Raw genomic sequence first — 13,670 nt, forward strand, 5'->3', positions numbered from 1 at the left:
ATTACACTGTTCTCAAACATATGTTCCAGCCAGAGGCTTGTTAAGAAGAAGCCTTTGTTTAAATTTCAGGGCCCACAGAGCATTTTATAGTCTAGACTCTAGAAAGTTTTATAGGCTAAAAGTCTGTATGATCTGAGTGAGATGAGCCCTTGTGTTTTATCAAAGGACATTCTGGGAACATAAACCTGTTTGTCTTCATGACAAGCCATGCAACTCCTGGGCAGAGTTCAGTTCTCTGTGAAGAGAAGTGAATATGCCACTGGTACACATGCGTTTCAAACTTCCTGATCCTCACGCAAGACTGATTTCACAGGCTCCTTGACATCTGCATTTAACTCCTAAATGTCCTCTGCTGTGCACCTCTTTCGCTTTTCTCAATCTCACTGCCCTCACTGCTATTTGCTATGACATTTTCTTTTTGCTTTTCGAATCTCATACTAATTACTGCTTCCTGACCCTTTTTGGCACCAGTGTAGCAGAGGGTACTACCCTCAGCTTCAGATAAGTCAGTGGAGTTCAGATTTGTCCATCCTCTGCTGATAGATGTAGGAATGGCTTCCAGAAATCTCTCTGCAGAGGGAGTGAGGGGAGCCTCCTGGGAGAGCTTCAGCTTAGACCCATAAGTCATTACAAGAAACTCAGCTCAGGAACAAAGCCTTAGTCCCTACAGGAGAAAGGCAATCCTAAGGAGAGCGGCGCCTGAACCCTTTCCTACCATCAAGAACTCAAGAACTCAGGTCTGTAATTTACAAAGGCATGGGGTGACCAGTGTCGCAGACACTGGCTAGATGCTCCCCAAACTTGTCTCCTTTTCTTCCTGGGCTCATACCTTCCTGGCACACATACTCTCTGTCTGAATTCTAGCCTAATAAATGTGGGCAGAATTCACATACACCAGCTCCAGGCCTGGCCCATAACACTTCCTGCATGATCTGGGATGCAAACGATCCAGTGGAGGCCTCCGAGGCCCTAAGGATGAAGCAGCTGGAGACAGAAGGGCCTGGGTCCCTGAATGGCTGGGAGGAATAGAGCCCCAGTGCAGTCTACTTGCACCCCCACCTTGACTCTGACATAGGCAGAAATAAATTTTTACACTCTAAAATCATTGGAATCTTGAGGTTGTTTGTTACAGCAATTATCTTGCTCTGGTTGACCTGCTAAGTAAAAATAGAAGCTCTGTCTAATGAAAATACTGCATTCAACCTGAAGGAGTAGCAGCATAGCATTGGCAATTTCCTAATAAAGTGTAATATGAAAAGGAGAGAAAGGCAGTCTTCCCTGGTTTCCTTTGCCCCTCACAGCTTTGACATTTTAGGAGCACTAAAATATGAGGTGGCATTTAGTGAGAGATACAGGAAGAGGCAGCAGTTTTTGAGAGGAGGCAGTTTTTGAGGGGCCTGGCAGCGCAGTGGAACCAAGGAGGAAGGGAGGCGGCCGCTGGTAGATACAGTGGCATTGGTTCCAAGAAGAGGTGGTGAAACCTAGTGGGGATAGTCAGGACCAGCAGAAGTGGCCACACTGTCCAGGGAAAGGCAAGCATTAGATGGTCAGATTTGATCATAAGCCCATGCAGGACACTTAGAGATTCTGAGCAGTACTTGGAGTATTACAAAGGTAATAACCAGCAATATGGGTTCCCTCTATGAGTTATGGGAACTTGAGAAGGTTGGGGAAGAACACTCTCACTGTAGATCAATGTAGGAAAAATAGAAGGTGATTTTCTGACTTCAGTTGTGATTTTTCAGAAAAGTAATTTCTTCAAGCAGGCACAGCCACCAGGCAGGTTAGGCTGTTCATAGGCATCCCGCCCCGGTCACTCTTGTACTTGTCAGGAAGGCAAGCCAAGTTCAGAAGTCAGAGAGGGCCTGGGTGTTTGCATTTTCCACAGTGACCTCAGTGGGTGTTTGGACAACAAAGGTATTCACATTCCACTAGGTAGCTAGAAAGGAACTCACAGGTATTCTCCATGTAAAAGGTAAGGATCCTGATTCATTTGGCAGCTGCTTTGAATTTTTTTCTTTAATTGAAAAGAAAGTACATTAAATTTGAGAAATACTATTCTAAGCTGCAGTTCCTATGTTAAAATGGAAAAAAGTTGTGGAGGGATGAAAGAGATTTCTAGAGGGACAAGGAAGACAAAGTGGAGGAAAGCTCAGGAAGCCAAGGAAGGAGGAATTCCTGGGCATCGGCCTCCCTGCAAAAATCATTCGGGCAAAGCTGGGGTGATTATGGGGAGTGTGCAGATGCCTTAAAGGTCAAGCATTGAAATCTGAGGAGCCGGAGATGCTGCATCTATTGGATGTATGTACACTGACACATGTTTATATGTACACATGTAAGTGTGTACATGCACATGGGCACTTTGGGTAACTACACAGTTTGAAGCAAAGTTTTTTTTTGTTTTGTTTTGTTTTTGAGACAGGGGTCTCATACTGTTGCCCAGGTTGGAGTACAGTGGTTCAATCACAGTTCACTGCAGCTTCCAACTCCTCAACTCCAGTAATCCTCCCACCTCAGCCTCTCAAAGTGCTGGGATTGCAGGCACAAGCCACTGTGCCTGGTTCTGAGACAAAGTTTTTAAATAAAACTTTATACATCTTTATTTTATTTATATCACAGAAGAAGGTACTCTCCCGGAATATACCTTTTCACTAAGAAAAGGAGACAGATTTTTCTTCTTTCTTCCTATCCTGTGTGACCTGGCTATTCCTTTCCACCCAAACTTTCTCCTAGAAACTCAAGTTCTTGTTCTGCAACTAAAATGAACATTTTTCTACATCCCTGTCACATTCACAGGTTATTTTTCTCAGTCTTCATATTTCAGGAATGCGTTCCATTTAGTTAAACTGATATCAGGCAAGCTACTACTGGCTCATTGTGACTTGTAGTGTTGCTCCTTTTAGATGACCTACATAGATGTAAAATATGTTTTTTAATCATGCCTCCAGAGAAGTGGCAAGCAGTAGAAATTTTGGGTATTGTAGAATGTTGAAAGAATTAATAAATAAATACATTACTAAACCATTAAATTACTATGAAATGTATTATTTGTTATTAAGTTACAAATTTTAAATTGTTAAAACATTAAGAAATTATCGATAAAAGAAGAGTGAATACTTAGAAAACACTAAGTGCCAGGCACTGTTGTAAGTGCTTTCTACATATATATTTAATTCTCAGGAGAACTCTATAAACTAGGAACTGTTTTGTCCCCATTTTGCAGATGAGAAAATTGAGGTGGGGAGAAATTAAGCAACTAACCCTCTGCCTGGCATCTAGGAAATGATAGAGTCAGGATTTGATCTCGGGAGGCCTGGCTCCTGGCTCCAGAGCCTGTGCTCTATCAGAGACAATGACATTTTTTTTTTCCAAGGGAAGAAAGGAGGTGAGACTGATTGCTGGAGACTCTCAGATTACTCCCACAGGATAGTCCTGTCTGCAGTTTCTCACGGGAATTAGGCAGCCTGCAAATGAGATGTATCTTGGAGCTTTTGTTGTGACACTCAGAAGTTACATTACCTTTCTATTTCTCAGCTTTCTCTTAAACAAAACAAGGAGAGTGGGACTAGATAGCCTCTAGGATCTGTTCCAGTTCTAAGATAACACAGTATTAGCATTCCTGCACTAAAATGCTGATCACTTGCGTGTGGGAAAGAAGCAAGTCAGTTCTTCCTTCTACACCACTGTGCCTGGTCCTGAGGCAAGCCAAGTTCAGAAGTCAGAGAGGGCCTGGGTGTTTGCATTTTCCACAGTGACCTCAGTGGGTGTTTGGGCAGCAAAAGTATTCACATTCCACTCAGTAGCTAGAGAGGAACACACAGGTATTCTCTATGTAAAAGGTAAGGATCCTGATTCATTTGGCAGCTGCTTTGAATTTTTTTCTTTAATTGAAAAGAAAGTACATTAAATTTGAGAAATACTATTCTAAGCTGCAGTTCCTATGTTAAAATGGAAAAAAGTTATGGAGGGATGAAGGAGATTTCCAGAGGGACAAGGAAGACAAAGTGGGGGAAAGCTCAGGGAGCCAAGGAAGGAGGAATTCCTGGGCATCGGGCTCTCCGCAAAAATCATTCAGGCAAAGCTGGGGTGATTACGGGGAGCGTGCAGATGCCTTAAAGGTCAAGCATTGAAATCTGAGGAGCTGGAGATGCTGCATCTATTGGATGTATGTACACAGTCGGATCCTCCTTCTACACCCTTCAACTAGAAGCTGCAGCGTAGGGTGCTGAGTAGACACCTGTAAAGAACTGGGAGCAATAAATGAGGGTTCGAGCTCCAGGAAACTTCAACTTCTACCTAAGAAGCGTAATAGAAACACTCTTACTAGGTGCCTACTGTGTGCTGTGTGTTTTAAACAGGTCGTATCATTTAATTCTCATTGCAAGCTTGTGAAGTAGGTAGTATGTCTTTAATTAAAAAAAAGCAGCGGCAGCTCAGTCGCCCCAAGGGACTTGCCCAAGATGGCCCAGCTAGTAAGTGATTCAGGCAGGATTCAAATCCAGTCTGCCTGATTTCAAAGCCCACGCACATTGCACAATCCACACCTCCTTAAATATCTCCTTCGAATCATTTTCACTGCAAGCTTACGGGGTATTTTCTCCCCATTTCACTGACGAGGCAAGTGAGACTCAGAGTGGTGAGGTGACCTGCATAGGTAGGGTGGGAGAAAAGCCTGCGGAGCGTGTACTCTGGCTTGGCCTCCCTCAGCTCTGTCCCCAGCAAGCGGGTCCCACCTTTCCCGGTCCCAGCCCCACGCACCGCCGCTCGGAACTACACTTCCCGGCAGAACGCGGGCGCGCGCACGCGCACCGGGGCCTCAGCCATGGCGACCGTGCTGTCCAGGGCGCTCAAGCTGCCGGGTAAGGAGTCGCATGCTTGCGACCACCCAGTCCCCGCCGGTGTTGGAATAAGGGGAGGCGAGGCTCTGGGGGCGAGGCCGGTCGGGCCCTGGCCTCAACCCAGACTCAGCTGCAGGCGCCCGGTGCCGAGGAGGGTGCAGTCCCTTGGGGCTGGGGTCTCTGTGCCACCAGAGGGCGAGAGGGGCGCCCAGCGGGGCAGGGGTCTCGGGCGCGGGGCGAACCCGGAGACGCGCGGGGAGAGGGCGCCGAGCAGGTGTTACGGCGGGGAATGTCAGAACGCCGGTCGCCGCTGTCCCGAGGGGAGGCTGGCGAGAGGAGCATCCTTCCCGAGCGCCGCGGACCCAGCACCGCAGGGACTCCGGCGCCTTCTGTCTTGGCTGGACCTGGGCGGGGGCGGCGGGACGGCGAGTGGCCCTCTGTGGATCATCCCCTCCACCTAACGGCAGCAACGACGCATCCATGAGGCAGGTGGGACAGGTATTTACGTCCCTTCCTAGTTTACAGAAGAGAAAATGAGAGTTATTTGGCTAAGTGAATTGTCCAAGGTCTCACAAGTATTGGGAAAGCTCGGCCTTGAACGTCAGGGGTCTTTTCACTCTAAATCCTGAGCTTTTGATTCCACTTGGTCAGTCTCCAGCTGCCGAGATTAAGCATGGGAAATGATTTGGCACCTATAAGTTGAAGATAATGTATGGAATCTTCTTTAAGGCAGCATTAGGGGTGATGACAACTTCCAGAGCTGATTCAGTACTTCGGGCAGCAGCTCCAAGTTTTTTTTCCTTTTTTTTTTTTTTTCCTCCTAAACCTCCAGAGTAGGATTGTACTGTTAGAAAGTTGATATTTAAATAAAAGTATATTTATTCCACCCAAGTAAATTTTAAACATTAGGCTTTAGAAAAATTGATGGCTCTACCTAGGTAAGTTTTAAGCATTAAGCTATAAACATTTATTTGCTGATAATTTGTATTAGAGGGAAAAGCAGTTGCTTTCATAGCTATCTCTAGAGAGGGCTATTTGGGTTTTGGTTGGATAGCTAGTTTGAGCTTGCAGGGGGATTACAGGGTCCTTGTTCTCAAGGAGCTTCCAGTATGCTACCCTGAAGCGAACCTTGCCATTTGGATGACGCTAGGTTGGATATTAATTTGCGTTTCTGTCCCCAGACTTCATGACCTCAGACAGATTATTATTTTTTTTAATATGGGCTCATTGGAACATTGGAAGGAACACTGATAGCATCTGCCTTGGAATGTGTGCATAACACTGGAATTAAAGGAGAGACGTGGCCCTTTACCTGCAGGATTAATTTTTTACTTTTTTACTTTGTATATCCTTAGTGTAGAATGATGTCCTCCCAGAGGGGTAATAAGATGTCAGACATTTAGCTTTATTTCTTTTTTTTTTTTCTTTTAGAGTCCTTTTTTAAAATTTCAGTGTAGGTCATTGTTATTCTCTAAGAATGAGAATGCATGAAAATCTTGCTTTAGCAACTCTTGAGGTCTTTTGTGTTCTTATGCCCCAAGGCTGTGGTGTTATTACTCCCTGGAGTATTAGTTGTAGGAACTGGTTGGGGTTCCCATAGTCCAGTCCATGGGCCTGTTTGGCAGGCAGCTTGGCCCTGAGCCCTGAGGTATGCTTGATGCTTTTTTAGGCCCAGATATAGTAGGCATGTGTTCTTTCATGTGATGTGGGTTTTAAGAAAATGTTCACTTGCGTCTACGGCCATACCACCCTGAACGCGCCCGATCTCGTCTGATCTCGGAAGCTAAGCAGGGTCGGGCCTGGTTAGTACTTGGATGGGAGAAAATGTTCACTTGCGTTTTTCCTTGTCTCCTTCTTGCCCTTTCTTCTTCCCTCCACCCAAAATACTATTTTTAGTTTTTGCATTAGGTACAAGTTGTTTTTATATAGCTCTTTTTGGCTCCCCTGTAATTGGGGTCCTGAGACTGCTGTCCTGTTTGGGCTACTGTGTTATGTTCCTGTAGTTAACATCCCCACTGTTTTCTTTGTTTGTTTTTTTGTTTGTTTGTTTGTTTTTTTGAGACGGAGTTTTGCTCTTCTTGCCCAGGCTGGAGTGCAATTGTGTGATCTCGGCTCACCGCAACCTCCGCCTCCTGGGTTCAAGCAATTCTCCTGCCTCAACCTCCCGAGTAGCTGGGATTACAGGCATGCACCACAATGCCCAGCTAATTTTGTATTTTTAGTAGAGACAGGGTTTCTCCATGTTGGTCAGGCTGGTCTGGAACTCCCGACCTCAGGTGATCGCCTGCCTTGGCCTCCCAAAGTGCTGGGATTACAGGCATGAGCCACTGCGTCTGGCCCCAACATCCCCACTGTTTTCATGTGTGAGGAAGTCAGGTTGGAGTGGTGGCTGAGAGCATGAGACAGGCTCGGGTTCAAATCCAGTCTTTACCTAATTAGTTACTTAATCTCTTTAAGCTTTAGTTTCCTCATCTGTAACAATAACATTATTATGGAACATTCACTCTATGCCACACATTCTACTACATATTTACCTCCTAGGGTTATCTGAAATAGTAAAGGAGATGGATGTACTTAGGAGGTCTAGTAACCTCTGACATATGTTAATTAGTCAGTAAGTGTTAGCTGTTGTCATCAGCAGTGTGCTCATTTATGAATGTGATACCTGAAGGAAGGCTTGATGTAATAGTGAGCTATTGACAGATCTCAGCAGTCTTGTTATGAAAGAGCAGTTTCGCTAAGCTCAAGAAGGAAAGATGTTTGGCTCACATGCATAAAATGAGGTTAATTAGTAGCAGAAGGCCAATATGACATTCATAAAGCCTGTAGGGCAGCTTATCTCCTAAGTATATATATATTTTTTTTCTTAGGCCATTTTAAAGTTTGAAGGTCAAACACTGGAGGGAATATCAGAGCAAAATGATTTTTTATGATTTATTTTGTTTGTGTAACTTAGTCTTTATATGCCCTTGGGTAAACTAACCCATGATATGAATTATTTACCTTTAGTTGCAGTAGAGTGTATTGTATAGTATATGCACAGTATAGTGTATACTATAGTATAGTATATGTTATAGAATAGTGTATGTTTTAGTATATTTCCTGAAAACGTTTGGGTATGGTATAGTTGCATCACTTTCCTATTTGTGTTTTCCTCTCTACCATTTTGGAAATCCTATTATATTTAAGCAGCATCTTCAGTCTTCCTAAGAGGAAAAGCAATAGCTGTGGAAAGCGCATTTATAATGATTTGTTATGAAATCAGTGCCCTCTCCCTTATTCTTTGAAAACCTTTCATTCATTAAAAATTTGGGTGGTGGCTGAAAGTAGCAAGGAAGCGAGTGAGTGCTAAGTGCCCTAAGCTTGGAAGCTGGATTTGACGCCTGGCTCCTCAGCCTGAGTAGGACTTAAGGCAAGTTGGTGGACTTCTTTTAAGGCAAGTTGGTGGACTTCTTTTAAGGCAAGTTGGTGGACGTCTTTTACTTCACGCTCTCTTATTGTCTTTCTGTAAATAGATAGAAAAAATATTATTAAAGACTTCTCTAATCAAAACTTGCAGTCTGTAATCCTTAAGCGGAGGTTTGTTTTTGCAGTATCTGAAAAAAAAATTAGTATAAAAGTATTTATTCCTCTCAAAAGGCTGGCCAAGAACTGGCCCCTAGTCTTCTGTGATGTAAAGAAAGCATAGGAATATGATAACTCAGAGCGCTTGTGTGCTTGTCTTTATATTTCGGTGATGTCATGGCTGGGTCAGAATGCTTGGACATCAAATTGCATGTTCTTTCTCTGAGGACTTTTTAGATATTGCTCCGCTATCTTTTAATAGTGTATGTTACTATGGAGAAATCTTTGCCTGATTTTTGTTCCTGTCATTAGTGACTTGATTCTTTTTCCTTTGGCCTGGCTGCTTATAGGATTCCTTCTTTGTCCTTGAAGTCCTGTGCCTTTACTAGGATATATTTCAGTATTGATTCTTCTGAATCAGTTTTTCTTGGGACTCTGTGTACTCATTATTCTGCAGTTTTAGGTCTTTATTGTAGGAAGTTTTTTTTGGCAACTCTTTAAAATACTGCTTTTGGTTCTTTTCTGTTTTCTGTTATCCTCTTTTCTGTTATCCTCTTTTCTGTTATCCTCTTCGGTCATGCATATATTGGCTCACCTTTGTTGTCAGTATCTATCACGTTGTTTCTAGTCTTTTTAAAGCCTTGATTTTTTTTCCACGGGATCATATGTAGCCCGTACAGACTTTGAAGCCAGACTGGTTTTGAATTGTTACCTATCACTTGCTGTTTATCTGTGGGCCAATGTATTAGTCTGTTTTCACACTGCTGATAAAGACATACTTGAGACGAGGCAATTTATAAAAGAAAGAGGTTTAATGGTCTTACAGTTCTGTGTGCCTAGGGAGGCCTCACAATCATGGTGGAAGGTAAAAGGCACATCTTACATGGTGGCGGCAAGAGAGAATGAGAACCAAGCGAAACAGGGTTCCCCTTGTAAAACCATCAGATCTCGTGAGACTTATTCACTACCATGAGAACAGTACGGAAGAAACTGCCCCCATGATTCAGTTATCTCCCACTGGGTCCCTCCCACAACACATGGGAATTATGGAAGTACAATTCAAGTTGAGATTTGGGTGGGGACACAGAGCCAAACCACATCCGCTAATTACTTAAACTTCCAAGCCTCAGCTTCCTCATCTTGAAAGTGAAGACAGTAATGTGTCTACCTCACATAGTTGTTATGAAGATTTACTGAGATAAGAATTTTTTTTTGAGACAAAGTCTTGTTCTGTCGCCCAGGCTGGAGTGCAGTGGCATGGTCTCGACTCACTCTAACCTCCGCCTCCCAGGTTCAAGCAATTTTAATGCCTCAGCCTCCTGAGTAGCTGGGGTTACAGGCGCCTGCCACCACACGTGGCAAATTTTTGTATTTTCAGTAGAGACGGGGTCTCGCCACGTTGGCCGGGCTGGTCTTGAAGTCCTGACCTCAAGTGATCTGCTCGCCTTGGCCTCCCAAAGTGCTGGGATTACAGGCGTGAGCCAGCACCCCTGGTCTGAGATAAGACATTAAAAGGGCTTGGAAGAGTGTAGGATAAGTGTTCAGAACTGCCAGCTGTAGTTATTTCCATTACATTTTGCTTGATTTTCACTAGTCTATTCTTTTTATGTCTCTGACTCTGTTTTCAGCAATATCTGTTCCTTTAGCTGATTCCAATAAGGATTTCTTTTCTAAAACTGGTTTGTTATTTTTTCCATTGTTTTCCTGAGTGCTTATTTCAGAGAAGACGATTTTCCTAAATTTCTCAGACTCCATGGGGAAGTATATGTTCATTATTTCTTCCATCTTGTGGTGTGATTTGTCCAGCATTTGTTTTTCAGCTAATTGTTTGTTATGTTTCGTTGTTACTTCTTTCTTGAATATTTGTAGAGCTTTGTGGTATCTTGTGGAATGAGTACTAAACATGGCTCCTTTCTGATTATTACTTATATTTAAATGGGGCGGTTGTTTGACAGCCTGGCTATTGCCAAAGGGGTGATCTAGGGCCGTTGGAAGCAAGAATGTAATCCAGGCCTGTTAAGTCAGCTGGCTCCCCACCAGCACTCTTCCTGTGTGGATGTCTCTATCCTGGCTAGGAGGAGGCTTTGCACAGGACTGTAGGCTGCTGGTTTGGCATTTCCTTCATTGACTTTGTTTTGCCAGTTATCAATTTATTGCATCTGAACTCCAAATTCACCTTTGTTGACTGATTTGTGAAAGTGGGTCTGAGCCCTTTTAAATATCAAGTTTGTCCTGCCTTGGATATTGTCTCTCAGTCCTAGGGGACCTTTTAGAGTTCTCTTCTCATCTTTATGTTTACTCTCCTGTCATTGCTTAGTAATTTTTTTTATGTTAAACTTGTCCTCTTTGAACTATTGTTTGGCTTCTGTATCCTGACTGGGCCCAGTCAGAGTGATTATGCCCAGTTACTTTTCTAACCTGCCGTCCTGACAGTGTGCTTTTTGTGAAGATGTCAGCTTGTACTTTTCCTCATTCGGTCCTACTTGGATTTGATTCTGTGGTGTTGAATGGGGCTCATTGGTGCTTCTGTGACCCCAGACTTTGTCTTTCCAAGCAAGCAATTACTGGTTTGGCTATATTTGTGGAACAAGGGAGGTAGTATAACTTGTTGGTTAGAACAACAAATGGACTCTGCAGTCAGATGCCTGGGTTTGAATCCTGGCTTTTCTTTTGGCTAGTTGTGTGATCTTAGTCATTTTACCTCTTTAATTTTATTTTTCTTGTTGATAAAATGGGGGATAATAATAATAATAATAATATCTACCATATAAGATTGATGTGAGGATTAAATGAATTAACACATGCAAAATGCTTGGATCAGTGCCTGGGACAGTAGGCACTCAATACACTTCCAGTTGTCATCATCGTCATCATCTTATTGTTGTCATGATTATTAATTCTGTGAACTCTGCTCATTGCTGAAGATCTGCAATATATGTGCAATATATATCTGCAAGATGTATTTGCCTACTCTTACTGAGCTTTCTCAATTGAGTACAAGTTTCAGTGCATTTAGTTCATAAATTGTGGTTTGGGAATGTGGCTGTTTCCTATTTTGTGTTCTATTTTTATTTTTCTGTATTTGTTTTCCTGGTTTTAGGGAAGACAGTGTGACAGAAATGCCCACTTTTGCCATCATTAACTAGAAGCATGTAATCTTGCTAAACAGACCAATCTGACAGCAGCTTTTTTCTCAAAGAATGCTTCAAATTGTTTTTATAAATTTCTTACAGATTTTATAAATTCCTGTAGCATATGCTTCTCTTCCTCCCTGCCTGTGATAGTACATAGCATGATAAAAATGAATTTCCTTTAAACTGTTTTGCTGGGAAGTGTTTTATTAATGATTTCACTTTGACAAAGGTGCTGTTTTTAGCCTGATATGTTTGTTGCAAGGTGGAGACTGACTAGCAAGATTGAATTTGATGTCGATGCTAAATTTTTCACTTGGTGCTAAAAATCCAATTGCACAATTATAGGGTGGCTTAAGCATGTGTTCAAAATGCTTGGAAGTTTTAATTGAATCAGTAGGTGATGTGAATGCCAAGAAAGCTCTCAAGATCTTACGTTATAGAAATTGAATTGTTGTTTGCTATCTGGAGTAGGTAGGAAATAGCTCTGCCCTCCCTTTCTCTGGTCAGACTGTACCTGGGATTGTATCTAGTTCCAAGAACCATATTTTAAAAAGCACAGACATATCACATTGTGTCCAGAGGAGAATGACCAGGATGTTGAGGACACCTGAAACAATGCTTCTTTAAGTAATGGGTTGAAAGAGGTGGAGGTGTTTAAGTTGGAGCTGAGAAGAGTGGGGGAGGGCACTGGGAGATACAATACTAGCACCAGTGATGGTAATGATAATAATAGAAGCTAAAATTTATTGTGTGGCTATAAGCCAGGCACTAAGAAGCAGACATATATTATCTTATTTGATTCTCATCACAATCATATGAGCTAAAAAGAATAATTATTCCATTTCATAAATAGGGAAATTGATGCTCAATAAAGTTAAGAAATTTGAGATTACATAGTTCATAAGAGATATAGCCAGGATTTGGCTTGATGTTTGATTGTGAAGACTTGAGCTCTTAAATACCATATCATATGTCTCTTATGATTGATACCTTTGAGTGTTTGAAGGACTTACATGTGAGAGAGGGATCCCAGAAATTAAAACTAGGACAGATAATTGGCAACTTCCCAGAAAAAAATTCTTGAATCAGTGTAAAGAATTGGTTTCTAGATTGGAGGCCAGTGGATTCCCTAATACAGGTTACATTCAGGTGTTTGCTAAGTAACTGGTTGATAGGTCTTTGTAAGTAGCTAGTTGTAAGTTTGGGATAGGGGTGGGGATAGATTATGTGATCTTTAAGGTCTCTTGCTGTGCTTTCTCAAGTAACTCTAGAGTTGAGAACTCTGTGTGCTTTCCTGTTTTTCAGATATATATATATATATTTAAACATTTTAAATTGTCAAAAAATACATACACCATAAAATTTACCATCTTAACTATGTTAAGTATACAGTTCAGTATTAACTGTATATGCACCCAATCTCTAGTACTTTTTCATCTTGCAAAACTGAAACTCTATACTTACTCAGTAACAACTTTTCCTTCTACCTCCAGACCTAGGCAACAACCATTCTACTTTCTGTTTCTGTGAGTGTGACTACTCTAGATAACTCACATAAGTGGAATTACACAGTATTGCCTTTTTGTGTGTGGCTCATTTCATTTAGCGTAATGTCCTCAAGGTTCATCCATTTTGTAGCAAGTGTCAGAAGTTCCTTCCTTTTTAGAGCTGAATAATATTCCATGGTACGTACATATCACATTTTGTTTATCATGTCAGGTGTATTTTAGCTAAAAAACAAAACAAGAACAAACAATCACTTTAAAAAGCATTAGAGTTAATATTATTCTAACAACCCATGGCTCTGTATGCAAATTATTATGTGTAGAGTTATCTGGGATGGTTAGGGAATGGTGTGCCCTAATTAACCAAATAATTTGGTTCATGGAGTAGAAATACAAATTGTAGGAGATTATCTGGAACCTGTACTGACCCCATGGCATATTCTGAAAGTACTATTTTGAATTAAGTTTCTAATAATTGATTTATTTTCTTGTAATTTGTGCCCTTAAAAATCAAGTCTAATATTTATTGGGCAAAATGTATAGTTTTGAAAATAAAAATAAATAGAAATAATTTCTAGTTATTAGGATGACAGATTATTCAGTATTTTCTTTGGATTTTTTTTGAAAGT

The 13,670-nt window shown here is 41.8% G+C and overlaps 1 protein-coding gene across 1 annotated transcript in view; it reads left to right on the forward strand.

The window, feature by feature from the left end:
• The first annotated feature begins 4,799 nt into the window (after positions 1–4,799).
• FAM234B (family with sequence similarity 234 member B) overlaps positions 4,800–13,670 on the forward strand; it is a 39,069-nt gene continuing 30,198 nt past the window's right edge. Inside the window, exon 1 of the mRNA NM_020853.2 lies at positions 4,800–4,859. Within this exon, the coding sequence (NP_065904.1) occupies positions 4,823–4,859 (37 nt within the window). The 5' untranslated portion in view covers positions 4,800–4,822. The remainder of the gene's footprint in view (positions 4,860–13,670) is intronic.

This window comes from Homo sapiens, chromosome 12 (assembly GCF_000001405.40).
Source record: "Homo sapiens chromosome 12, GRCh38.p14 Primary Assembly".
Lineage (NCBI taxonomy): Eukaryota > Metazoa > Chordata > Mammalia > Primates > Hominidae > Homo > Homo sapiens.